The following is a 24,975-nucleotide window of genomic DNA, read 5'->3' on the forward strand; positions in this document are numbered from 1 at the left end:
ATCTGCAAACTGCTTGGGATGGTATAAAAAATTCAACGTTGGCCGGGCGCGGTGGCTCACGCCTGTAATCCCAGCACTTTGGGAGGCCGAGGCGGGCGGATCACGAGGTCAGGAGATCGAGACCATCCTGGCTAACACGGTGAAACCCCGTCTCTACTAAAAATACAAAAATTAGCCGGGCATGGTGGCGCGCGCCTGTAGTCCCAGCTACATGGGAGGCTGAGGCAGGAGAATGGCGTGAACCCAGGAGGCGGAGCTTGCAGTGAGTCGAGATCGCGCCACTGCACTCCAGCCTGGGCGACAGAGCGAAACTCCGTCTCAAAAAAAAAAAAAAAAAAAATTCAACGTTTATGCATATATGTGCATTTTTCTGGGGAGGGGACTCCCTAGTTTCTGGAAGTTTTACAAAGTGGTGCCTGAAAGAACATAAAACCCCTTAACCAATTGATCAGCAGAATCACCAACTGCCTTTTCCTTCTGAGTTTCTCAAGTTACAGCCAATCTTCTCCAAGCATTCCAGGTCTCCATTAATCTAGCAAAAAGTACAAGCTATGATACCAATAATCTCTCATTATGCACTGGTCTTGAGGTTGTCGTCCTAAACTCTTTAAAGTACAGAACTAAAATTCACAACCCCTTTATTCTTTTGCCAGGAAAATGAGCCACACGGCAAATGCAAAGGCAGGCAGGGATTTGCCTAAGATCATTTTGCTCTGGTCAATGAGGGCATTTTAACTTCCTCTAGCTTTGACCAAAAGAACTGCTTCAGTCTTATCTGAGGAGATTACAAAATCATCTGCCTCACACAAAAGTTTCTCTATGAAGTCAAAGTCGTTGATACTGCTGTCCTAAGGAGTCTCAGCCACTTAACTTCCATGGAGAACTGCATTTAGGAGCATTCTACTGAGCCCTTCTGTGCAGACAGACATCAGCTCCTGGAGGCCAGGGACCGTGCACTTAATTGTGACTGTTTCCTGTGCCAGGCACAAGATATGGCACCCAGCAGGCCCCTGTTAAGACTCTTGAGAAATAAATAAATATTAAATATAAATTATTTTTTTAAAGTGAGGCAAGTAGGGACTGTTCCCATCACTTTATGTGGACCTAATGCATGCTGGAACTTCTCTGTTAGAAAGACGGCTGGGGTGATACAAGCAGAGTGGGCTACTCATGAGTTACTCAGAGTCAGAGGCCATTCTGCTGACTGCCAATGGGCTTTCAGACACATTTGCACTCTGCACAGTCTAATAACAAGGAGCGGCAGGACCCAACCAGGACAGTGTACTCCACACCTAACCAAAGAGGCCATTATGACTGTGTGGGAGGAAGGGGATAAGGAAACACAAAAGCGAACAACAGATGATTGATAATACAATAAGCTGGGGGCAGTGCCATGGGAGAACGTGGGTTGTGGGGCTTTTGTCATCTCCACTCCAGGCTAGGCAGCCATGTAATGTCACCGCAGCAGGATGTGTATCTCAGACGCACATGTGCAGGATGCTTTATCTCATTGTTAATAGCTTTGAATTGGAAATGACCTAAATGTCCATCAACAAAGACGGATTAGAAAATGGCTCATCCATATAATGAAATACTATTTAAAACTGATGTAGGCCTGTATTTATTGATGTGACAAGAGATCCACAGCACAATGTTACATGAGAAAAAAAAATCAGGTGGAATCTCATTTATATAAAATTATTATTTTCTATCTAGATACATCCAGAAGGAATTGTAGAGGTTATTTTGGGATGGTGGGGCTGTGAATGCCATTTACTTTCTTTTTACCTTGCTTCATAATTGTTTATTTTAATGAGAATATTATTTTTAGGGGGTGGGCTGGGTTGTCACGTCCATATTCATTTGTTGTTTTATGAGTTCACCTCATTAGAATCAGATGCTGCCAGTGCCCTCAAACAAGCTGAAAACCCCCAACTTTGGCCCCTGGAGGGGGCTGATACAGACTTGATTTAAGCCCAATATTTACTTTCCTACCAAGTAACATGCTAATGGCTATGACTAAAACTGTTCTTTTCACTTTCAAAAGAATTCACCATTCATCCCCTAGTCTAATTAGCCCATGAGAGGCTTGTCACTTAAAGGAGCTTGTTCCATTTCTTTCCTTTCTTTAGTCTTCTCACCACCATGTTGAGTAGAACAAGTTTAGGCCTCCCTTTCCTCTCCCTCTACTGTCAAAGTCTCATCTTTAGCCAAGTCCAACTTGTGCAGTCTCCTTGGCTGTGCTTTTTGATCCTGGCTGTGTATTAGTATTACCATCACTTGAGGAACTTCGAAAAAGTCAAAATTCAGGTCCCACCCAAGACTCATTAAACAGAGTCTCAGAGCATCAGTTTTCATAAATGCTTCCAGTGTGCCCGTTAAATATTTAGTACTGAAGTTTTCCACATCCTCTCCTACCCAGGAAGAGGTTCTGATGATCTTGAAACATGCACAACCCCTTCTCGAAATTGCTGTTTGGGCTCTGCAAAATCTCAAGCAATTTCAGGTTTTACAGGCTAGTCCAAGAGGTGAAATGGCCAAACACCTGTGGCTGGTGTGCATTCACAGGCAGACCACAGCCAGATGCTGGTACCGGGTGGCTGACTGCTTTGCCCTCTGGCCACACTGCAAAAGGCACCCCTTCAGCCATTGTGGGCTGGGCTCCATCCTTCCTGCTCAGCCACAGAGCCCTGCCCAAAGCAGGACCTGCCAGGATAGATGCCTATGAAAAGTCTGGGGCTGGTGAAGCCGAGAATGGAATCAGAAACGGCTTCCTCATTTTAAAAGCTCCTTGACCCCTTGGTGTTCAGATCAGGTTTTGCTTGCCTGCATCAGAGGCAATAAGAAACCCAGTCACAATCCTAAAATGAGAGATGACAAAACCTATCTTGTATCCAACCAGTTCAAAATGATCTGACTTTCTTCTTAGCTGCAGGGGCCTTCCAGACTCTGATCACTCGTGTTTTATCCCACAAGACCACCTTGTGGCTTGAACGCTGGGGCAATGAAAGCCCAACATGGCATTTAGTAAACTGTATCCTACGCTCGGCTTTGAGGACTGTATTCAGCAGCGGCGGGACCTGTCTCAGATGTTCACCTGTGTCTTGGCTAAATATAGCCATGCCGCCTGTGGGTAAACGCCAAGGCAAACGGCTCCGGCCCTCTTAGCAGACCATTAAACCAGTCACTGGAAACAGACAGGTGCAATTCTGAGTTCAAATGGCAGGACATTTCACTCAAACACTCTAACGGGTGTTAGAAAGGTGGTTTCTAATCTGAATTTCTCATCCAAGTCCATCTGGCAAAATCCTTTCCATAAATCAAGATGTGTGAGATGATCTTGGCAAGGCCCATCTGTTCCAATAGTACATCAATTCTGGAAATATGACACCCATAAGGCTGGTTGTAGAATTTAATCATCTAAAATCTACATGGGAGCATTGGAACTACAAGGCCTCAGAGCAGCTCAGGAGTTGAAGAGCATCTAACAACTCTCTGCTGGAACATCTCCTGAGCCTTCACCATTAAGTCTGAGTGACGAAACTCATAACGGGATTTCTAGGACCTGCAAATTTTCTTGGCTTATGAAGAGTATCTGAGTCAGGCATGGTGGCTCACACCTGTAATCTCAACAATTTGAGAGGCTGAGGCAGAAGGATCGTTTGAGCCCAGGAATTCAAGATCAGCCTGGGCAACATAGCAAGACCCCATCTCTATAAACTTTTCTTTTTTAAAAATAGCTAGGCATGGTGGCATACACCTGTAGTCCCAGCTGCTGAGGAGGCTGAGGTGGGAGAATCACTTGAGCCCAGGAGATCAAAGCTGCAATGAGCTACGATCACACTACTGCACTCCAGCCTGGGTGACAATAAGACCCTGTGTATATTAAAAATAGGCCAGGCGTGGTGGCTCACGTCTGTAATCCCAGTACTTTGGGAGGCCAAGGCAGGTGGATCACTTGAGGTGAGGAGTTCAAGGCCAGCCTGGACAACATGGTAAAATCCCATCTCTGTTAAAAATACAAAAACTAGCCAGGTGTGGTGGTGCATACCTGTAGTCCTAGCTACTTGGGAGGCTGAGTCAGAAGAGTCCCTTGAACCAGGAAGGCAGAGGTTGTAGTGGGCCGAGATCACACCACTGTACTCCAGCCTGGGTGACAGAGTAAGACCCTATCTCAAATACATATATATAGTTTGTGTTTAAACTAGAGCTGGAAGGAATCTGAAGAGATAATCAAATTGTACCCAAAGGATGAAAAGAGAAGGAAGGGGATGAATGCCTTTGGAGTTTACTGTATCACATCCATCCTCTGACTAAGGCTGGGGTGTGGGAGGTGCAGCCTTGATAAGAGGCAGAGCTGGAATTCAAACTCACACCCCTGTCAGCGTCAGCATCCAGTACTCTAGGTTTCCACACCACGGACTAGCCTAAAGTGCCTTCTCTGCCTGTGGGGGGATCTTTCCTGCTCCCCATGATGACCAAGCCCTATAAACTCACTTAACACCAGCTACCTGCTGGTGTGAGATGACTTCCTTGGAATCATCTAAATCAGTGGTAGAGACCCCTTTAGCAGCTTCCGATTCAGCACCAGTATTTGCACGTGGGCAGGAAAACACTCGGCCTGCCTCCCAGCATTCAGAGACAGGATGAGGAGAGGCCTGTGGCATTTCTTTTTTTTTTTTCTTTTCGAGACAGAGTCTCGCTCTGTCACCCAGGCTGGAGTGCAGTGGTGTGATCTGGGCTCACTGCAACCTCTGCCTCCTGGGTTCAAGTGATTCTCCTGCCTCGGCCTCCCGAGTAGCTGGGGTTACAGGCATGTGCCACCACGCCTGGCTAATTTTTATATTTTTAGTAGAAACAGGGTTTTGCCATGTTGGCTAGTCTGGTCTTGAACTCCTGACCTCAGGTGATCCACCTGCCTTGGCCTCCCAAAGTGCTGGGATTACAGACGTGAGCCACCACACCACGCCCTGTGGCATTTCTTGAGTGCAGTTTACATTTCTTTGGACCACCATGCAAGGAGGCAGAAGATTAGAGTTCAAGTTGCAGCTCTGCCACTCACCTCATGTGTGGCCACAAGCAAGCCCCCCCACACCCCCAGCCCACCTCAGAGCACGGGCACCTGAGCCTCAGTTTCAGCCCCTGTGAACAGAACTAACCCCTAAGCACTGTCTATGGAAACTGCACTGAACCCAATGGGTGGAAGGAAGGGGTTTTGTCTGTTTCCAGCAGTTGTAACATAGATCCCCATAGATCCCACTCTTAGCATTTATACTCTCCTATGTCCCCTCCAGGTATACCTAATAGTCACTCTTTTCTTCTTATAATTACATCTGAGATGGCAAGAGCACCCAGTAGTGTCCACACAAGTGGCAAATGTGATGACATTCTGACCAATCATTAAAGCAAAGCCAAAGGAGCTGCAAGAGTCCCTTTAGTGGCTATTGAACCCTCCCAGCAGGCGCCATATCTATGTACCAACCTCACTATGCAGCCCTGCGCCTCTCACTGCCAGATTCTATGCTGCAAAGGCCAGAGGACGCACATCTGACAAGTCTTGAGACAAAGGTCAAAATAATCTATTTTGGATTCCTTACTGCAAAATGTACCATCAGAAAAAGCTCCCTTTTCATGTTGAAAAGCAGCTTAGGGAAGGACTTACAGTGGCCACATCTACCCTCCAGGACACCTGCTCCCAAGAGAGGAAGGGAGGCTCCTGCTTGGTGGGGCTGTTACTACCACTGCCCCAAATCCCTGCCCCTCCTCTGCCTGGCAAACTCCTCTCATTCTCTGTGGCCCACATCAGTGTTCACCCTTTCTCTTGGATATCTTGTTCATTTTATCAGTAATACGTAGACAGTCTCTCCTCCAGACCCACAGAGGGACCTTTACACTGGTTCTTTAGAGGACTGAATACACCGTAGTTCAGGGGATTACTTGTCTATGTCTCCCAACAGAATGTGGCAGGCAGGGACAACATCCAGCTCATCTGTGCAACCACAGAGCTCAGCACTGAGTAAGCTCCAAGTCAAAGCTGGCTGAATGGGATTGACTGAACCTTCCCTTTCTTCCTTCTATATATGTATGTACGCATGAACCAAGTGCATATTCAAGCCGTATAGCCAAGTGGAAAGTGCTGGACTTTGGAATGAGACCAAGTTCTGAATCCTGGCTTTAACCTTTACAACATTCTTAGGAACATCAGTGTCTCTGAGCCTCAGCTTCATCATCTGTAAAATGGTTCTGTTTTATGGCCTACTTTATAGATCAGTGATGAATATTAAACAAGAGTTCACAAAGACTGTAGTTCAGTGCTGGGCTCAGGGCGAGAACTGGGTAAACAGCACTTATCGTGATCAGGCAGTGGGAAAGTGAGACAGTGCAGGCCTGAGCCCTTGGCTCTCAGAAGCAAGCTTTGATATGTAGACACAGACTCCCAGCCCCTGCTTTGAGCTGTACCAAAGTGAAATCTGCAGAGTGGGTTCCTGGATGGCCTCCTGTTTTGACATGGAAAAGGGAAACAGGAGGTCCTAGTCCCAACTGCTAAAAATAGGTGATATCAATACGCTTTGACAGTTGCTTCAGGGCTGGGCAGGGCACTATGGAAACCAGGCGTGGTTCTTTTCAGGGAGCTGGGGATATAAGCTGGGTATGCAGAGAGCCATGCCAAGAGCCCTGCAGCTGCCAACCTCTGATCTGCATGTCAGGGGCTGGGTGGGAACACCATTGCTTGAAGGAGGCTCAATTATGGGGCAATAAGCCAATAGCCAAGTGAACCATTCCCTTCCGGGTCCATCTATTACCCTACTGTTTGCAGAAACACCTCCTATGACATCCAATCACCTCCCAGGTCCTATAAAAATCAATGACCCCAAAAGCCATCTCAGCAGACTCTCCCAAAAGCCTCTTGATTAAATTGGCTAAGGTTTCTCCCACAGGCAAGGCGGGCCTTACAGGTTCCAATCAGCTAACTGTACCTTCTTAGCATGCTCACCCCTGGGGGCAGTGATGACTTCCGGTCCCCCCTCACACTGCCCAGCTACAAAGAGGAGACCCATATCCACGTCCCAGGTTACAAAAACTTTTCTCCTCCATTAATTCTCTGAGCTCCTCAAATTCCCCATGAAACAGATGTTATTACACTACCTCCACTTTACAGCTAGGAAACTGAGACTCAAGAGTAGGGTGTACTAGAAAGAGCACATAGACCTGAAATTGCAAAATTTGAGTTTGAGTCCAAGCTGTGCTATTCACTAAATGACTTGCCAAGATCTAAGGGCTTTGGTTTCACCATCTAGAAGATGGTAAAAGAAAGATCTAGAAAGATTTGACAAATGCCTCTCCCTCAGGTTCCTTCTGGGGCTAAAAAAGAAGGTTCTAGGTTATGTGCCTTGTCCCCAAGAATCACCGAGTTAAGAGGAGGAGGTCCTAAGTCTTAGGATCTAAATTTAAAGTTTTATATATATATATAAAATATATGTATATACATAAATATGTGTATATATACATATATATTATATATGTGTATCTATATACACATATATAGTGTATATATACATAATATATACGTGTGTGTATACACACACACACACACACACACACACACACACACACACACACACACACAAATAACAAACCCAAGGCCAAACAGTCAAATGGCCACAGAAGGCAAAATAAGATTTGCATAGTAGAAAAAACACTTTGAGAGTTCAGGACACGCTTCATGAAGGGTGAGGGGGGGGTCATCTGAGATGGTCTTGAAGGATGGCTGGGAGTTTAAACAGGTGAGAAACAGCAGAAGGAGAAACAGCATAAGCAAAGGCACAGAGATAAGTGCAGGCATCATAAGACCCAGACTGTAAGGAGTCCAGCTCAGAAAGCAAAGATGGGAATGACTAGAGGGTCCTGGGAACTGCTGCTGCCGCACAGCTCTTGCATCCTCAGAGCTGGAGGCAGATGAGGACCCTCGCCCTCCCACCTGTTTTTGCCTCAAATTTGTAGAGTTGGATGCTGGAAAGGCCTGAGAGCCTGAGCATCTTCAGGTGTCTGGCCTGGGAAAGCCGCCTGTATCCTGCTGTGAACACCCCTCCTGCTGCACAGTGACAGGGCACTGGCGGGCGGGAAAGCCTGCCAGCCAAGTCAGCAGAGGCTCATGGCAAAGGCCTTCATAATGGAGTCACAGACTTGGCTTTCTGGGAATCTGAGTGGCTAATGAGGGGTCACTTGGGGATGAGGACATGCTGCCAAGGTAACAGGCATAGGTTCTAAGGGCAGAAATGAAAGATACCTCCTCCTTTCTAACTAGAGAACGCATTTGCAGCAGACATGCCAACGTCCCCTTTAGACTCAGAATGACTGAACATTAGAAGTGTAAGTTTTCTTGGAGAACAGGTCCAAGTACCCCATTTTACAGATGAGAAAACAGAGGCCAGAGGAGCAAGGCAGCCTATCTAAAGCCTACCAAATGAGTCAGAGGCAGAGCCAGGAACAAGGTCCAGTCTGACTTCTAGTTCAGGGCCACAGATATTCTGAAGCCAAAAATACCACACGCTTTAAGACACACAGGAGAAGGCAGAATCAAGAAGAGTTCCAGGGAAGAAGAGGGCTGGAGAGTGGCAGGTGCTGGAAACAGGTGGAGGATGCTGGGGACAGAGAGAACCCTAAATATGGCATTCAGGAAGCAAGTGGAAATAGGCCTGCCGCTCCAGGTGTAGAGAGTAGATTGAGAAGTAGACATGCAAAAAAAAAAAAAAAAAAGATGGACAGACAGAATCGGAAGTGTAGGGGAAGAAAATTCAAGGAATTTTAGCTGAACGACCTCGGTCTTCTCAGCAGGTGAGGCAACTGCTGGAACAAAGCCTCCGTGGGGACTGGACTAAAGGTCTGTGCTCAGATCCAGACATGGACCTGTCGGGTGGCCAAGAGTCAATCTGGGGCTACTGAGGCTCAGGGAGCAGCTCGGGAGCTTGGACTCTGCTGAACCTGTGATCGGTGCTGATGCCAGAAGGCACAGACCGTGGCTCTCTCCAGCAACGCCTGGCAGGCTGGGACAAGCCACAGAGGAAACAGATGGGCCTGCGTGTCAAGGGGAGGCCAGGGGACAGTCACGGGGGCAGGAGAATCAAAGGCCAAGTGAGGACACAGGTGAGGTGGCCGAGGCCTGGCTGGGGCTGGGAGGAAGGCCAGGGCAGGAGAAGGCTGGGAGGGGACAAAGGGCAGAAGGAGACCGCTGTGGGCCAAGCCCAGAGGGAGGGGAACTGGGAAAATGGAAGGAATCAAGGGAAGTTATCCTGGAATGGGGACTGGCAGAATTCTGGATCTTGGAGTGCAGGTGGTGACAGGACACACGAGAATCTATGTGGGTCTTGTCAATCTGCTCAAATGAAGCTTAAATGACAGGAAACAGTGTCCAGAATATGTAGGAGGGCCAGTAACTTCAGTCCTGAGGCTACCCAGAGGAAGAGAAAAACTGAGACACCAAAGGCCTCGAGGGATGCGAAGGACAGTCATGAGGTCAGAGGGTAGGACACTGGTCGGCCCAACCTCAAAGGAAGCGGAATTGGACTCAGAGGTGGAAAGAGGAAAAGTTGTTCTGCCCTTCTCCCGGGTCCGGTGGACGGAGTGAGAGTCTCTGGCTGAGAAATGAGAAGGAACCCGGGAGGGTTCGAGGAGGACAGTTTGAGGAGGACACAGTTTGGGGGTGGGGTGGGGTGGCATAACAGGACGTCCTGAAGATGCAGAGGAAGTGGCTGAGGTTGAGGGACACATCTGCACAGGGACATCCAGTGGGAGTGTCCACCCCAGAGGCACTGTAGCCAGGATGCATTCCCGTCCAGATTCCAATCTGTCACCGAAGGACTCAGCATGTCACTAACATTCTCCAGCAGACCTAATTCCCAGGTACCGATTTTGTACATCTTCACCTTACAAATGTCACATGTCACCTGACAACTTCCAGATACAATCAGGAAGTATCTGATAAGTATCTTCCAGTAGACAGCCTTAACCATTATGGGAGCTCCAGGTCTCCAGCTCAAACATCCTGATCAGGGAACCCAGACTTTAATACACTGTCTAAAATAGTGCTTCCCCTCCCCCCAGTCCACCCTTTCCTCGCCTTTATTTTTCTTGACTCCTATTACCATCTGGCATATGACATATCTATGTGCACTGCTTTATCCGCAATGCTCAGCACAGGGCCCAGTGCATAATGGGCACTCCATAAATAGATTTAGATTGTCGAATAAATTATCTTTGAAACCCCAAGCTAGATTTTGTTGGGAAGGGGAACTATGAAGTCATTCCTGCTTTTAAAAAGAGTGGGTCTGAGCTTTGTGGAGTTCACTCATTCTAACATCTCCACTGTGAACAGTTCTGTCTCAGGCAAAGTAAGTAAAGTGCTGACCTAACACAGCTTCCTGGAACCTGCAAGATGGTTCTCGGCAACAGCAAGACCTGCTCCAACCCCATCCACCCCCAACCCCACTAAGCCTGGCTGGCATTCAGCTCCGTTCACAGCACCTGCTCTCTACCCAGCCAGACTCTGTAAGAAGATGGTGGCACAGCCTCTTCTGCTGGTTAAAAATAAAAGCAGCACCATTAGAAGAGTTTCTTTCTTTTCCTTTTTTTTTTTTTTTCAGACAGGGTCTTACTCTGTCACCCAGGCTGGAATACAGCCACTAGGGAGGCTGAGGTGGCAGGATCGATTGAGCTCACTGCAGCCTTGACCATCTGGGTTCAATCAATCCTCCTACCTCAGCCTCCCTAGTAGCTGGGACTTCAGGCACATGCCACCATGCCTGGCTAATTTTTGTATTCTTTGTTGAGATGGAGTTTCACCTTGTTGCCCAGGCTGGTTTTGAACTCCTGGACTCAAGCAATCCACCTGCCTCAGCCTCCCAAAGTGCTGGGATTACAGGCACGAGCCACTGCCCCCAGCCTGAAAGAACTTCTATAATGATGTTTCTTCTTTCTACCTTTTCTAGAAATGTGCCTATAATGCATCCCTAATGAATCCCATTCACATCCTCTCCTGGTTACTGGCCACCTCAAGGGTGAGGCATCCTACAAGCATTGTGACGCATGGCACTTGGGCACCACAACCTCCATCCCAATGCCTGTTACTGGCACAGTATCACAGTTTTAGTCTTGTTTTTCTCTACCCATTTCTAGCAACTGTGGACGTGCAATTAGCAATGAAAAGCCAATCTGTTCTGAAATGAATCAAAGCAATAACCTACCGCAACCTGGGCAGAGTCGAGGAACTGGAGGCCAAAGTAATCTGTTTCCACAAGGTCCAAGTGGTACACAATCTGATCAAACAAATCCTGGCCTTTGGCATGTTTCTGGAAGACAATTGGGAAGATGAAAAAACTTAGGGTGAGACAGCTAGATAAGAAAAAAAAGGTTAAAAAAAACCTACTTCTCTTTGTAAATTGCATACATGTCAGCACACACAAATTTTTAAATTTGTAATTAGTTTGATTATAAGGGTAATACAAACTCATGATTAAAGAAACTCAAATGCCACATAATAGCATAAAGTTAAGAATCTAGATAACCCTGTTAACTTTTGCTAGTCTCTTCTTACAAAAAGAATACTTTTTGGATGAATACCTACATGGGAAGATAAGCTTTGCCAAAATCAGACACACTTGAAGAAGGGTGTAACAGGGCCTTACTCTAGCGTAGCAAAAGCTGGGCTGTTTCTCAATGCAGGCAACCTTACTTAGGAAAGAAAGCTCATCCTCTGAAATTGGCTCTTCCAGTCTTCCGATTTCACAAAGTAGGTAACGAAGTCTCAGGGAAACCCAAAGACCTGCTGGAGGTCACAGGCCATAACCAGGACTCAAACTCAAATTCCAGGTTCATGCCAAGGTTTTGACTATGTGGTATACACATGGGGCATGAGCACAAGAAAGCAGTCGGAGAAACAAGGGGTCAAGTCCTGCATCTGCCACTTGACTTCGTACAAGTCACTCCTCCTAACGTTTCTATTCCTGCCCCTGTAAAACGGGCCTCAGGATACCTACTCTCCCCACCTCTCCTTGGGAAAACTGAGAGAGAGTCTGAATGAGAAACCACCACAAGGATACTGAAGTCTCTGACAAATGAAAAGGCTTCTTAATAGTCACCCAAGCGGAGCAGACACGCTTCTCAGATAAAACGACATCATTCTCAATGGATCCAAACACAAATATGCTTAAATCTAAGTGCCATAATCACAAAGAAAAAAAAAAACCCAACTCCATAGGATGACTCGGTGGCAACTCCTTATTATGGAAACTGGTAAAGAAAGGGAAAGAATCCAGCACTGACTCTCCCTTTAACTGCAGCACTGGGTAACCTAAGAGTAGACGGCAGCATATGCAAAAATTAATTCAAAGTGCATCAAAGACCTAAATGTAAGAGCTAAAACTATAAAACTCTCAGAATAAAACACAGGCATAAAGCCTCATGACTTTGAGTTGGACAATGATTTCTTAGCTATGACACCAAAAGCACAAGCAACAAAAGAAAAAATAAACTGGACGTCATCAAAATGTGAGACTTTTTTTTTTTTTTTTGCTTCAAAGGACATGGAGACATGAAGTGCAGACAACCCAGATGGGAGAACATGTTTGCAAATCTAGAATATATAAAGAACTATTACAGCTCAATAATAAAAAGACAAGTATCCAATTTAAAAATGGACAGAGGGTACATACAACTAGTTCCCCCCAAACATACAAATGGTCAATAAACACATGAAAAGATGCTCAGCATCACTAGTCATGAGGGAAATGCAAATCAAAATTACAATCAAATACTATGTCACACTCACTAGGATGGCTGTAATTAAAAAGGCCGGGCACAGTGGCTCATGCCTGTAATCCCCACAATTTGGGAGTCTGAGGCGGGCAGATCACTTGAGATCAGGAGTTCAAGACCAGCCTGGCCAACATGGTGAAACCCTGTCTCCACTAAAAATACAAAAATTAGCAGGGTATGGTGATGGGCACCTGTAATCCCGCTATTCAGGAGGCTGAGGTCGGGGAGGTGGAAGTTGCAGCGAGCCGAGATTGTGCCACTGCACTCAGCCTCGGCGGTAGAGCGAGACTCCGTCTCATAAATAAATAAATAAATAAATAAATAAATAAATAAATAAATTAATTAATTAATTTTAAAAAAGATCATAACAAATGTTGGAGAAGTAGAAACCCTCATATACTGCTGATGGGAATGTAAAACTGTGCAGCTGCTCTGGAAAATAGCCTGGCAGTTCCACAAATGGCTAAACATAGAGTTAGTTACCACATGACCCAACAATTCTACTTCTAGGTAAGAGAAATGAAAACATATGTTCACGTAAAAACTTGTACACAAATGCTCATAGCAGTATTATTTATAATATTCAAAGGTAGAAACAACCCAAATATCTATCAACTGATGAATGGATCAACAAAAGACAGTATAACTGTACAATGGACTATCATTTGGCCGTAAAAAAGAATGAAGTGCTGATATGTGCTTCCACATGGATGGACCTAGGAAACATTATGCTAAGTGAAAAAAGCCAGACACAAGGAGCCACCACACATCATATGATCCATTTATAAGAAACCTCCAAAGGAGGGAAATCTATACAGCCAGAAATTAGATTAGTGGTTGCTTCGGGCAAAGGGGTTTGGGGGACGACAGCTAAGGGGAGTACAGTTATTTGTAGGGGGCAGGGGGATTTAAATGAAATGTTCTAAAATTGCTTGTGGTGACAGCTGCACAACTCTGTGAATACACTAAAAGCTGCTGGATTGTACATTTTGGATAGGCAAACTGTATGACACGTGAATCTAAAGAAAGCTTTTAAAAATAGTAGGTGGGTGGAGTTTTTCTTTATTGAAGTATTTCAACAAATAAATGAAGAAATAACAGAACTGCAATATCATCATTTTGCAACCCCTAATGGGTAGTAGGTTCTAAGCACTGAACATCAGTGGCTACTAACATCACAACAGGAGACAACCAGACATTACGTACCTCCTGATAAGAACACCCCATCACCTAAGATGTAACCTTGCTCCCCAACCTCTCTCTCCGCAAGATTTAGCCTGTGAGAACCACTCAGGACAAATGATCTCATTTCTTTTTTTTTGAAATGGAGTTTTGCTCTTGTCGCCCAGCCTGGAGTGCAGTGGTGCAATCTTGACTCACTGCAACCTCTGCCTCCTGGATTCAAGCGATTCTGCTGCCTCAGCCTCCCGAGTAGCTGGGATTACAGGCGTGCGCCACCAAGCCCGGCTTATTTTTAGTAGAGACAGGGTTTCACCATGTTGGCCAGGCTGGTCTCAACTCCCGACCTCAAGTGATCCGCCCACCTCGGCGTCCCAAAGTGCTGGGATTACAGGCGTGAGCCACCGCGCCCGGCCAAATGATTCCATTTCTTTCTTCAACAAGCAGAATATAGGGAAGAGAAGAGATAGAGGGGATACCTACAGATTAAAAGAGATTTAAAATACACTTTTTTCTTAAAGGCAAAATGAAAATGCAACGTCTACAGATGCACACTTGGGTGACAAAACTGGAGAAGAACAAGGAAGCAGCCACAATAAAGTCAGGGTAATTGTTGATCTTCTGGCAAGGTTACACTAAGGGCTTCTGGGCGGTGGGCAGGGTTCTCCCCTGACTTGTGTAGTGTTACCAGGATGTCTGCCTTCTTGTAACCCAGTAAACTGGGTACCTTTGTTTTCTTTGTGCAGCTGTATTTGTGTGACACACATAGCAGCAGTAACACAAAGTAAAAACAAAGAATGAAAACTGCATCATGGGATTACAGCCTTCAGGCTCTTTCCTTCCTCGACATACTCCTCTGAAGGCAACAGGTCAACAGAAGCAGAAGGCAGGATATGCAACTGGAGAAAGGAGGCTGGAGGGATGAGACGGCCTCATCTCTCCACCACAGGGACGCAGAACCACGATACATCAACACTCCAGAATACTGTTCAGCCATTATACAAGATAATTACGAAGATGAGATAAAAAACAAGGAAAATTTTAATGACAATGTTAGGTAAACAGACTTTAAAGGAATAAGCAAGCTGTGATTGCAACTAAATAAAAATACATATGTGTTATGTACATAGACTGCTTGATAAAAACAGGAAATTTGCTAAAATGAAAATAGTTGTACAGATGCTCCTTATGACGGGATTACATCTCAATAAACCTATTATAAGTTGTAAATGCACTTAAGGCCAGGCATGGTGGCTCATGCCTCTAATTCCAGTACTTTGGGAGGCTTAGGCTGGAGGATTGCTTGAGGCCAGGAGTTCGAGATCAGCCTGGGCAACATAGCAAGACCCCATCTCTACAAAAAAGTAAAAAAAAAAAAAAAAATTAGTTGGGCATGGTGGCATGCATCTGTAGTCCTAGCTACTCAGGAGGCTGAGGCAGAAGGATCACTTGAAGTTCAAGGTTGCAATAAGCTGCATTGTACCTCTAGCCTGGGTGACAGAGTGACACCTTGACTTAAAAAAAAAGAAAAGAAAAAACGCACTTAATACACCTAACCTACTGAACATCACAGCTTAACCTAGCCTACCTTAAACGTGCTCAGCAAAAATCATTGAACGCAAAGCCTATTGTATGATAAAGTATTGAATATCTCAGGTAATTTATTGAATAATGTACTGAAAGTGAACAACAGAATGCTTGCATGGGTACCCAAAGTACGGTTTTCACTGAATGCATTATTACTTTCACACCATCATAAAGCCACAGAATCCTTAGTCAAACCACTGTAAATTGGAAACCATCTATATTAGGATGAAGCATAGAGAAACCGCGGATGGCTTTGTTCCCAAGTTTTTTGTTTGTTTTAGACAGGGTCTTGCTCTGTCGCCCAGGCTGGAGTGCAGTGGCAGCATCATAGTTCACTGTAGCCTTGAACTCCTGGGCTCAAAGGATCCCCCTGCCTCAGCCTCCCCAGTAGCTAGGATTACGGGCACACCCCACCACACTGGGCTAATTTTAAAATATTTTGTAGAGGCGGGGTCTTGCTATGTTGCCCATGGTGGTCTTAAACTCTGGGCTCAAGTGATCCACCTCAGCTTCCCAAAGCACTGAGATCGGAGGCGTGAGCCCCCACGCCTGGCTTCTCCCCAAGTTTTAACAGTGATCTTCTGGCAGTTGTCAGAGACCAAATACAATTTCTTAAAAATCACCATTCTGGTACTTTTCCTTCTTGACCTTAACAACCCACCCTTTGGATATTTTTTTCCCTATTACTATCCATTGCCACTGGCTCTACACAATACCTATTATCATGGCTCAAGTGTTTCATTAGAGAATCTGCTAGTGGGACAGAACTAGTTAAGTAACACTTTTAGCAGCAGGATGTGGCAGAAAAATTGGGCCAGGAGGAAGCAAGAAACCTGTGCTCTAGTCCCAGATGCACCACCAACTGCGACCTTAAGCAATTCACAATTTCCCCAAATCCATATCGCCAACCCAGACTTATCCTGCAGCAGCAAATCTGCCATGGTGCCCTGAATACACAGGGCCACCAAAACTCAAATGGCCCCAAATCCAACCCATTCCCCACCTGGGTCTGTTTTGGTTCTGGGCTGACCATCCCATCACACAGAGTATTAACTGAACCATCACAGCTCTACTTACGTAAAATGAAGAGGGTTAGCCTAAGTTTCTGTCTAGGTCATTCCAAATCTCACTTTTCTGATGTTTCTAAAATGGCTCTTAGTGTAGAAGGGGCTCGAGGTGGAGGTTGGGAAAGGGATCTTTCAAGGGATGGCAGGTCCCTCCTGCCATGCTAGATGCTCACTGAGCTGGCTCGGAGGTGGAAGACAGCAGGGGCTGGGGGATAGGTATCATCTTTACTCAACTCTGATGCTTTTTTAAATATATCTGTAACTGCCCCTCCCATATGTCCCCCAAGTATGTTCTTTGTTTGCTACCTTCTGCTGGAAGAGAGAATTCCCAACAGCCCTTTCCAGCTTCAAGAATAATCTGGTTAAATTATGAGGGCTGGAATGGAGGGATCCTCCAAACAGGGGTCCCCAGTGGGTTACCAGGTAGAATGAAGACAAGGTGATCAAGGTCACTGCCCTTGAAACCACCATCTCTCACTCTTCCCAGCCTGCAGTGTCCCCTCTCAAAACTAAGAAAGCTCCAGGTAACTTACTTTGCCTGCACCGCCAGCCTGGACACCCCACCCGGGGCAACCCCTACAAATCTGAGATGACACAAACTGTCATTTCAGGCTTAGCCCAAACATTCCGTCTTTCAGGAGCCTCCCCAACTCTACTCCTGCCCCCGGAGAAGTAAGTGCTCCCTCCTCAGCATTCCCGTAAGCAGGTGTGTGCCTTAAGTATATACATACTCATCACACTGTACTGCAGCTGCCTGTGCTCCTGTGTCAGAATCCTACTTCTGACTGAGAGCACTCCCTCCCTGAGGACAGGGACCAGCTGTGTTCATCTGAGTACCCACATCTCTGTCCCTCCATCCCCAAAGCACAGTGCCTGGCTGGCACACAGCAGGCGCTCCATAAATGACTATTATATGCAGGGGAGGGTAGGTGGGTGGGTGGGTGGGTGGATGGATGGATGGATGGATGGATGGGTGGATGGATGGATGGATGGATGGATGGGTGGATGGATGGGTAGATGGATGGATGTGAATGGAAGGATAGATAGCAGCAGGAGGTGGGTAAGATCTGGGGCCAAGAAAGAGATGTTCTGGATGAGCCATGCTACAACACTGACAACAGACTGGTGGTGCTCTACCAGCAGAAGGCCTAAAAAAGAGGATACACTCATTAAAATCTTTTCAAATTCAGTATTCCATGAACAAGCACCTAGGGAACTGTGTGCACTGCCAAAGCTGTTTACCTAAGCATAATTTTGTTGCCATTATGCGACGCGTTGTCTAGTGGTTATAACAGAAGACGAGTTACTGTGACGAGCCTGGAAAGCCATTTCTTGTTGCCTTATCGTTACCCAGGTCTCCCTCTCTGTGACGAATTCATCCACTCATTTAACAAATATTTGCCAATTGCTCATCAAGTCCCAACCACCACTCTGGGTGTTGCAGACACAACTCACGTTACTCCCTCACTATGGGAAGCCCTATAGGAACTAAAGGAAGTTCTCACTGAACAAGTACTTCTTGAGGGGCCAAGTCATCCAAAACAGGGTTGAAACGCAAACCCAGAGGTTGCAACACCATTTCCCTCCCTGCCTTCTTAAGCAGAATGTACTGAATGTGACAGCTAAGTTGGGATCCCCGTTCTGAAATGCAATAATGCTCCATCTCCTTCCAGACTTGTATGGTGAGCTGTTCCCAAACACAGTAGACTCCAGAGAGCTCCTACCTTTGAGTTCTTGCATCAATGTTTTCTAGTTTTTCTGCCAACACATTAACTTTTCCCAAAGACCAACAACTGGTGTTTTTGAGTCAGTCTATGTCTCTGTAGCAGCTCCTTCTGATGACATGAGCTAAAAATAACCCAGCTCATTAAAATCATGTGTAAAATAAGAGTACATAGTTGCCAGTGAAAGACTGGGGCAGGCAGGCAGCCAGCAGGACAAGGGATGGACATTGGGATATCTTTGCTGGCCAGCCTGAGATTCTCATTTTGCTTATTCACTGGTTCCTAGCTGTGCTCCTGATAAGGGAGACTGCTGGACAGCTGATGTCTTAACTGCCCCCCAAAATAAATGAACTATCCTGACCTTCTTAGGTAAGATGCTGCTGACAATGTCTGACTGCAACCTGACCCAAGTGCAACATTAACAGGTCAGATCTGGTCCCGGAAGAACAAAGAAGATAGAAACCAACCCATCAAATCTCATTAGTCTCAATAGCATAAGATGCCAGCCATCCCAGGCAGGTTTGAAAGGAGGAAATAAGCTGTATGTGAGCGTGCCAGTCAGATGTATACATCCTACTTGTGAAGTGAATTGCAAAAGCACGGTGCCTATGCAGTCAAAGTGATCTCAGGAACCATCTCCTTGAGGGTAAACGTGGCTCCCCTTTATCTACCTGCCCCACATCCATCAGATGATGTGTCTTTCTTTTTTGAGACAGGGTCTTTACTGTTACCCCGGGTGGATTACAGTGGTGTCATCATGGCTAACACCAGCCTTGATCTCCTGGGCTCAAGCGATCCTCCCACCTCAGCCTCCCGAGTAGCTGAGACCACAGGTGTACTCCACTATGGGGTCCCACTATGTTGCCTAGGCTGATCTTAAACTCCTGGGCTTAAGTGATCCTTCTACCTCAGCCTCCCAAAGTGCTGGGATTACAGGTGTGAGCCACCAATCCTGGCTGGCAAGTCTTTCTGTGGCCAGCTTCGGGAAGGCCTCTTCCCTTCCATCTCCATTACAGCTCAAGTCATGTCACTTTGTACCTGGACTACAGCAACAGGCCCCTAAGTGGTCCCATGCTACAGTTTGAATAACGGCGTCCCTCCAAATTCATACATTGAAAACTAATATCCAGTGTGATGGTACTAAGAAGTGGGGCCTTCAGGCCCCGTCACTAGGGCTCTGCCCTCAGGAATGGGACTAGTGCCTTTATGAAAGACATTGAAGCCAGCAGCCTTGCCTCTGCTGCTGCGAGAGGATGCAGCAACAGGGTGCCATCCACAAGTACCTCACCAGTCACTGAATCTACTGGCTCTGTGATCTTGGATATCCAGGCCCCAGAACCGTAAGAAAAAGTTTCTGGGCCAGGCATGATGGCTCACGTCTATAATCCCAATAGTTTGGGAGGCCAAGGCAGGAGGTTCGCTTGAGTCCAGGAGTTCCAGACCAACCTGGGCAAGACAGGGAAACCCCATCTATACAGACAATAAAAAAAACTAGGGCTAGGCACAGTGGCTCACGTCTGTAATCCCAGCACTTTGGGAGGCCGAGGCGGGCGGATCACAAGGTCAGGAGATCAAGACCATCCTGGCTAACACGGTGAAACCCTGTTTCTACTAAACAAAATACAAAAAATTAGCTGGGCGTTGTGGCGGGCACCTGTAGTCCCAGCTACTCGGGAGGCTGAGGCAGGAGAATGGAGTGAACCCAAAAGGCGGAGCTTGCAGTGAGCCGAGATCGTGCCACTGCACTCCAGCCTTGGTGACAGAGCGAGACTCCGTCTCAAAAAAAAAAAAAAAAAAAAAAAAAAAAAAAAGCTGGGTGTGGTGGTATATGCCTGTAGTCCCAACTACTCAAGAGGCTGAGGTGGGAGGATCACTTGAGCCCAGGAGGTTGAGGCTGCAGTCAGCTGTTCATGCCACTGCACTCTAGCCTGGATAACACAGCAAGACCTTGTCAAAAAAAAGGAAAGGAAAGGAAGGAAAAAGAAAGGAAAGAAAGTTTCTGTTGTTTATAATTTACCCAATCTAAGGTATTTAGTCACGGTAGCCCAGAAGGACTAAGACACCCACCCCCTAGTGGGTCCCTCCTGACACCCACCTTTCCTGTGTTTGCCAGAATGGTCTTTCCGTAAACACAGCCCTTGTCTTAGTCACTTCTCTGCTCAAAAAACATCCACCAGAGAATAAAGTGCAGGTTCCTCAGCCTGGTGTCAGGGACTCTGCACCCATCAACCCTGCCTAACCTAATTCAAGTTTTATCCCTCCCAGGACCCTACATGTACCCTAGGCTCCGGTCAAACTACAAAGCGTGTTGTTCTCCAAATACAAGGCCCACCCCACCATACACAGCAGGCCCCGCCTCTCAGGCTTGGCTCGTGTCCTTCCTTTGCCTAGGATGCCCTTCTCCCGCACCCCCATTCCTTTCTCCACCTGCAGCAAGCCAGTTTCCAGGGCCAATTTCAAGTAACACTCTTCATTATTCAGCTTCCTTGTTGGCAGCACCCTGCCCTATTCATATTTGCTTCTCTGCCAGCTGACATTCTGAGGCTCAATAAACATAAACACTAATGTGGATTAAGGAGAATCCTCAGTTCCTACAACAGTCTTCAAACAACTCACTTTTCAGAAGCCTGATCTGCCTGGTCCAAATCCACTGGAATTCTCTGTAGCTGGCCAGGACCTGGATGCAGAACCCTGTTACTCCTGTCATCCCTTCCAGACCCCTCGTCTGTCCTAACGCACACTAGGACATTGACGTTTTGGAAGCCATATCCCACTATGGCCTATCCTTGTGGCTAACAAAATGCTATGCCTTTTATATACAAAATGCTAACAAGTCCTAGGTTAGAAAACAACCAAAATAGTTGTAGTGATGGTTTCTAACCCCAAGTGCAGGCTTTGCATTTGTTCCAACTAAATTGCATCCTATTTAAATTGGCCTATGATCTATCCTATTAAGAACATTACAAGTCTCAGTTTGTTATTCCACTTATCAGTGATTGATACCTGTTTTACGGCACGTGGGAAATCTGCTAAGCAGGTCTGACGTGGGGAGTGGTGGTGCTGGGGTATCTTTCTGTTCTTCGACAGTACCTAACGGCACCTGTCCGATGGTAACTTCAAACCCAGGCATGACTGCACACAGTTGTACCACATGGGGCTGTGCCCTGGGACTCTGTGAGGCAGAAATGGTGGGTTGGAAACTAGTTCTACCACTTCTCTAGCAATATGACCATGGCCTTAGGCACCTCCAAGTTTTGGAGTACTCTCATCTGCCCTGTCACCCTTGCTAAATCATGCTAATAATGAAAAAGCAAGATAGCAAATGAGCATACACTGCGCCCTGTGGTGTTCTACACAAAGGAATTATTGTGACTTTCATCGAAACCTATTTCTCCCACTTGTCCACAGGAATAACATGGTGTGCTCTTTGTCAGATGCTTAATAAAAATAGAGGTATGTGAAGTTTAGTAATTTCACTGAAAGAAAAATTGAGGTTAGTCTGGTTTGGGGACTTTTGTAAACCCATGTTCATCCCTAGAGATCAATTCCTTCTTTTCCCAGTCCTTAAACACCCCTAGTTTAAATTGCTATCCCAGAGCTCCACCTGGGATCAGCAGTTGGCTTCCCAGCCAGCAGTTCCCAGAAGGCACCAACCTCAAGGCCTGTTTCAGCTATTTCTAGGAAGTGCTGATTTCATGATTAGTTACCAGCTCTGCTCTCCCCTCAATAACTTGCCACTTTCTATGAGCCTTGGCAGGAAACTAGCCATATATATATATATATATACACACACACACATACATATATATACCTCACACACACACACACACACACACACACCCCCCACCAAGTGGCCCAGGAATTCCCATTGCCAACACTGCTAAGCCGTCACAAACAAATATAAACTGTTTACTCTTGGACATCATAAATACGAATATCTGAAATTACCAAATAAGTTACCTTAACATTTCATCATGAGTAAGAAATACCATCTCAGCCATCAGCAAGATTTGGTGACTCAAAACTAGAACACGATGATGCAAAGACCATGCAGAAGTGTCCATGGTCTACTGGACTTATGGCCAGGCTGTCCAGCTTATAAATTTCACCTCCCAGTTGAAGGGTGCCTCAATGTCACAAAGGTTCTATGACCCCATTTCGCAGATGAGACTGAGCCTCAGGGAAATTACATCATCAGTTCATACCGCTTATAAGTAGCAGAACTATAATAGGGGCCCAGCCTTCCTGATTTTTAGGACAGAGTTCTTTCTATCTCATCCCACTACCTCTCTAGCCATCTCATTCACCTTTTTAGCTCCAAGCACATACAATATGCCTTGCAAACAAGAAATATTTCTTAAGCCCAATTTAACACATAAATACTGAAAGCCTACTCCACGCATGGTCTTGGCTAGGGTTGGGATACAAGGCCACACACAGTCCAACAAACAGATCTCACGGTGGGGAGGCAATTCCCAATTCCCACTTAGTCTGAAGGGCAGGAAAGCTGTAGCACAGGGAAAGCAGATTATTTGCTCACAAACTAACACAGAGGCCAAGACGCTGTAGTGAGAAGGGACGTCAACAGTCTAGGCGGCTCCTGGAAATTCAATTCTGGTAAAACAGAGCACATGTTATTGATTTCCTGACTTGCCAGGCTAACAATCTCTTAGAAATCAGAGGAAGCAACAAAACAACTGTCCTTAATTTTGATCAACAAGGAAGTAAGAACAATCTTAGAAGAAAGTGACTGCCTGTCATCTTGGTGTGCGAGTCCGTGGAAGGAGGCATTGATGATCAGTTCCACGGATGACCAGGGCCCTCCTCACTCCATGGGCAAGGGGCTTCCAATGTGCTGTAGATGGCCCAGACAGGCAGATTCTAGGCTCAACTGTTCCACCACAGAACCATAGTCGCACTGGCTTCGACTCACGGAGGGATCAATTTAAAACACTGAGACTTTGTGTTGCATTACTGATCAGCTATTGATCAGCCTCTGTTCCAGGCCAATAAACTGTCCTTAGGCCATGCTGTATTTAGATCTCTGCAGAGATTCAAAGCGCTCATTTCTTCCTTTAACAGCATCTCCTTCACAGGGCTGCTATGAGGACTGTGTGACCCCACTGGTCACATTCCTATGAACCCTCTTTCAATCAACACAGAACGCCTAACATCTGCTAGGGACCTCAATTCCTGTCTACCTATAGGTCTGTCCAAACATGTCTAACACCAGTGATTCAATAGTGTACGAATGGGTTTCCCATTTATTCCTCAAGATGCTCACTAAAGCCAAGGATACCTGAAGCTACTTGATTCTGGCTGCCCTGAGACTTGGTTTCACCCATCACTTTTTCTGGTCACAATACTAGCAGACACACTGGCTAATATACTATCCCTACTGACAGGGACATTAACAAAATATCAGGCAGCCTCCCTAACACAAAGGTCCACTGGACAAACTTCTTTTAAAGTTTGTATTGGGAGCCTCCCACTGTTGCCATTATCATCAGGCAAGGCAAGTCATGTAAACTGTCACAGTGCACTTGCCCAATTGAGTCCATTCAAATCCCTCATGAATGGGAATGGGAGGCAGGAGATACCCTGAATGACCTCTAAGGCAGGTGCCTCCCATCCCAGTGGCTTCCATCTTACACCAAAAGACAAGCAAGTACATGGGGACTTAAAAAGTACCAGGTAGCCAAATACCTAAGGTGTCAGTTTCAGTATTATTCTTTTAAACTGTGGAGCTTACAAACATGGCTGCAATTCTCTGATACTCTTATCAAGAGAGGGGGTCTCTGTCCTTTTCCCTTGAATCTGGAAGAGCCTGTCAGTGCATCAACCCAATCAAATATGGTGTTAATGATGTTCTGCGATTTCCAAGGCTAGGTGACAGTTCTCCTAGGAAGCTTGCTCTAGAAGAGCCAGCTACCATGTGAAACGTCTAACTACCCTGAGACTGCCACGTTTAAGAGGCCACAAGCACGTGTGCCAGTCAACCATCCCAGGTGAGCTCAGCCTTCCAGCAATCCCTTCCAAGGTACCAGATATGTGAGTGCAGCCATTTTGGACACTCCACACGAGCCCACCTTCCAACTGACCCCTTGGTCAATGCCATGAGGAGCAGAAGCATCTCCCAGCTGTGAGCCCTGCTCAAATTCTTGACCAACAGAACCCATCATGACAAATGTGGTTGTTTTACAGCACTAAGCACTGGGGGAGTGTGTTATGCAACAAAAGATTACCAGAATGAAAACCATATATATACACAGATACAGTGTGTATGCATGGTATTGTATGCGTACATAAAAGATTTTGTATTTATGATGTTTTTCATAATTTAAAAAATGTTTCTTCTTAGGACATCCCCACAGCATGACGTTAACTTAGGTTTCATTTGCTTGAAGACAAGGAAGCAGAATAAACATATGCATTCTTTTTTTTTTTTTTTTCCTTGAGACGGAGTTTCACTCTTGTTGCCAGGGCTGGAGTGCAATGGCATGATCTCAGGTCACTGCAACCTCTGCCTTCTGGGTTCAAGTGATTCCCCTGCCTCAGCCTCCTGAGTAGCTGGTATTACAGGCACCCGCCACCACGCTCGGCTAATT

General features: G+C 46.1%; 1 protein-coding gene across 9 annotated transcripts in view; it reads right to left on the bottom strand.

Moving 5' to 3' along the window:
- The window catches only part of EPB41L4B (erythrocyte membrane protein band 4.1 like 4B), a 149,086-nt gene that overhangs the window by 96,603 nt on the left and 27,508 nt on the right, over positions 1–24,975 (bottom strand). For all 9 annotated transcript variants that reach the window (XM_017014815.2, XM_017014814.2, NM_019114.5 and 6 more), the window contains exon 2: positions 11,241–11,345. In XM_017014815.2, coding sequence (XP_016870304.1) covers positions 11,241–11,345 — 105 coding nt within the window. The remainder of the gene's footprint in view (positions 1–11,240; positions 11,346–24,975) is intronic.

Source organism: Homo sapiens, chromosome 9, assembly GCF_000001405.40.
Source record: "Homo sapiens chromosome 9, GRCh38.p14 Primary Assembly".
Lineage (NCBI taxonomy): Eukaryota > Metazoa > Chordata > Mammalia > Primates > Hominidae > Homo > Homo sapiens.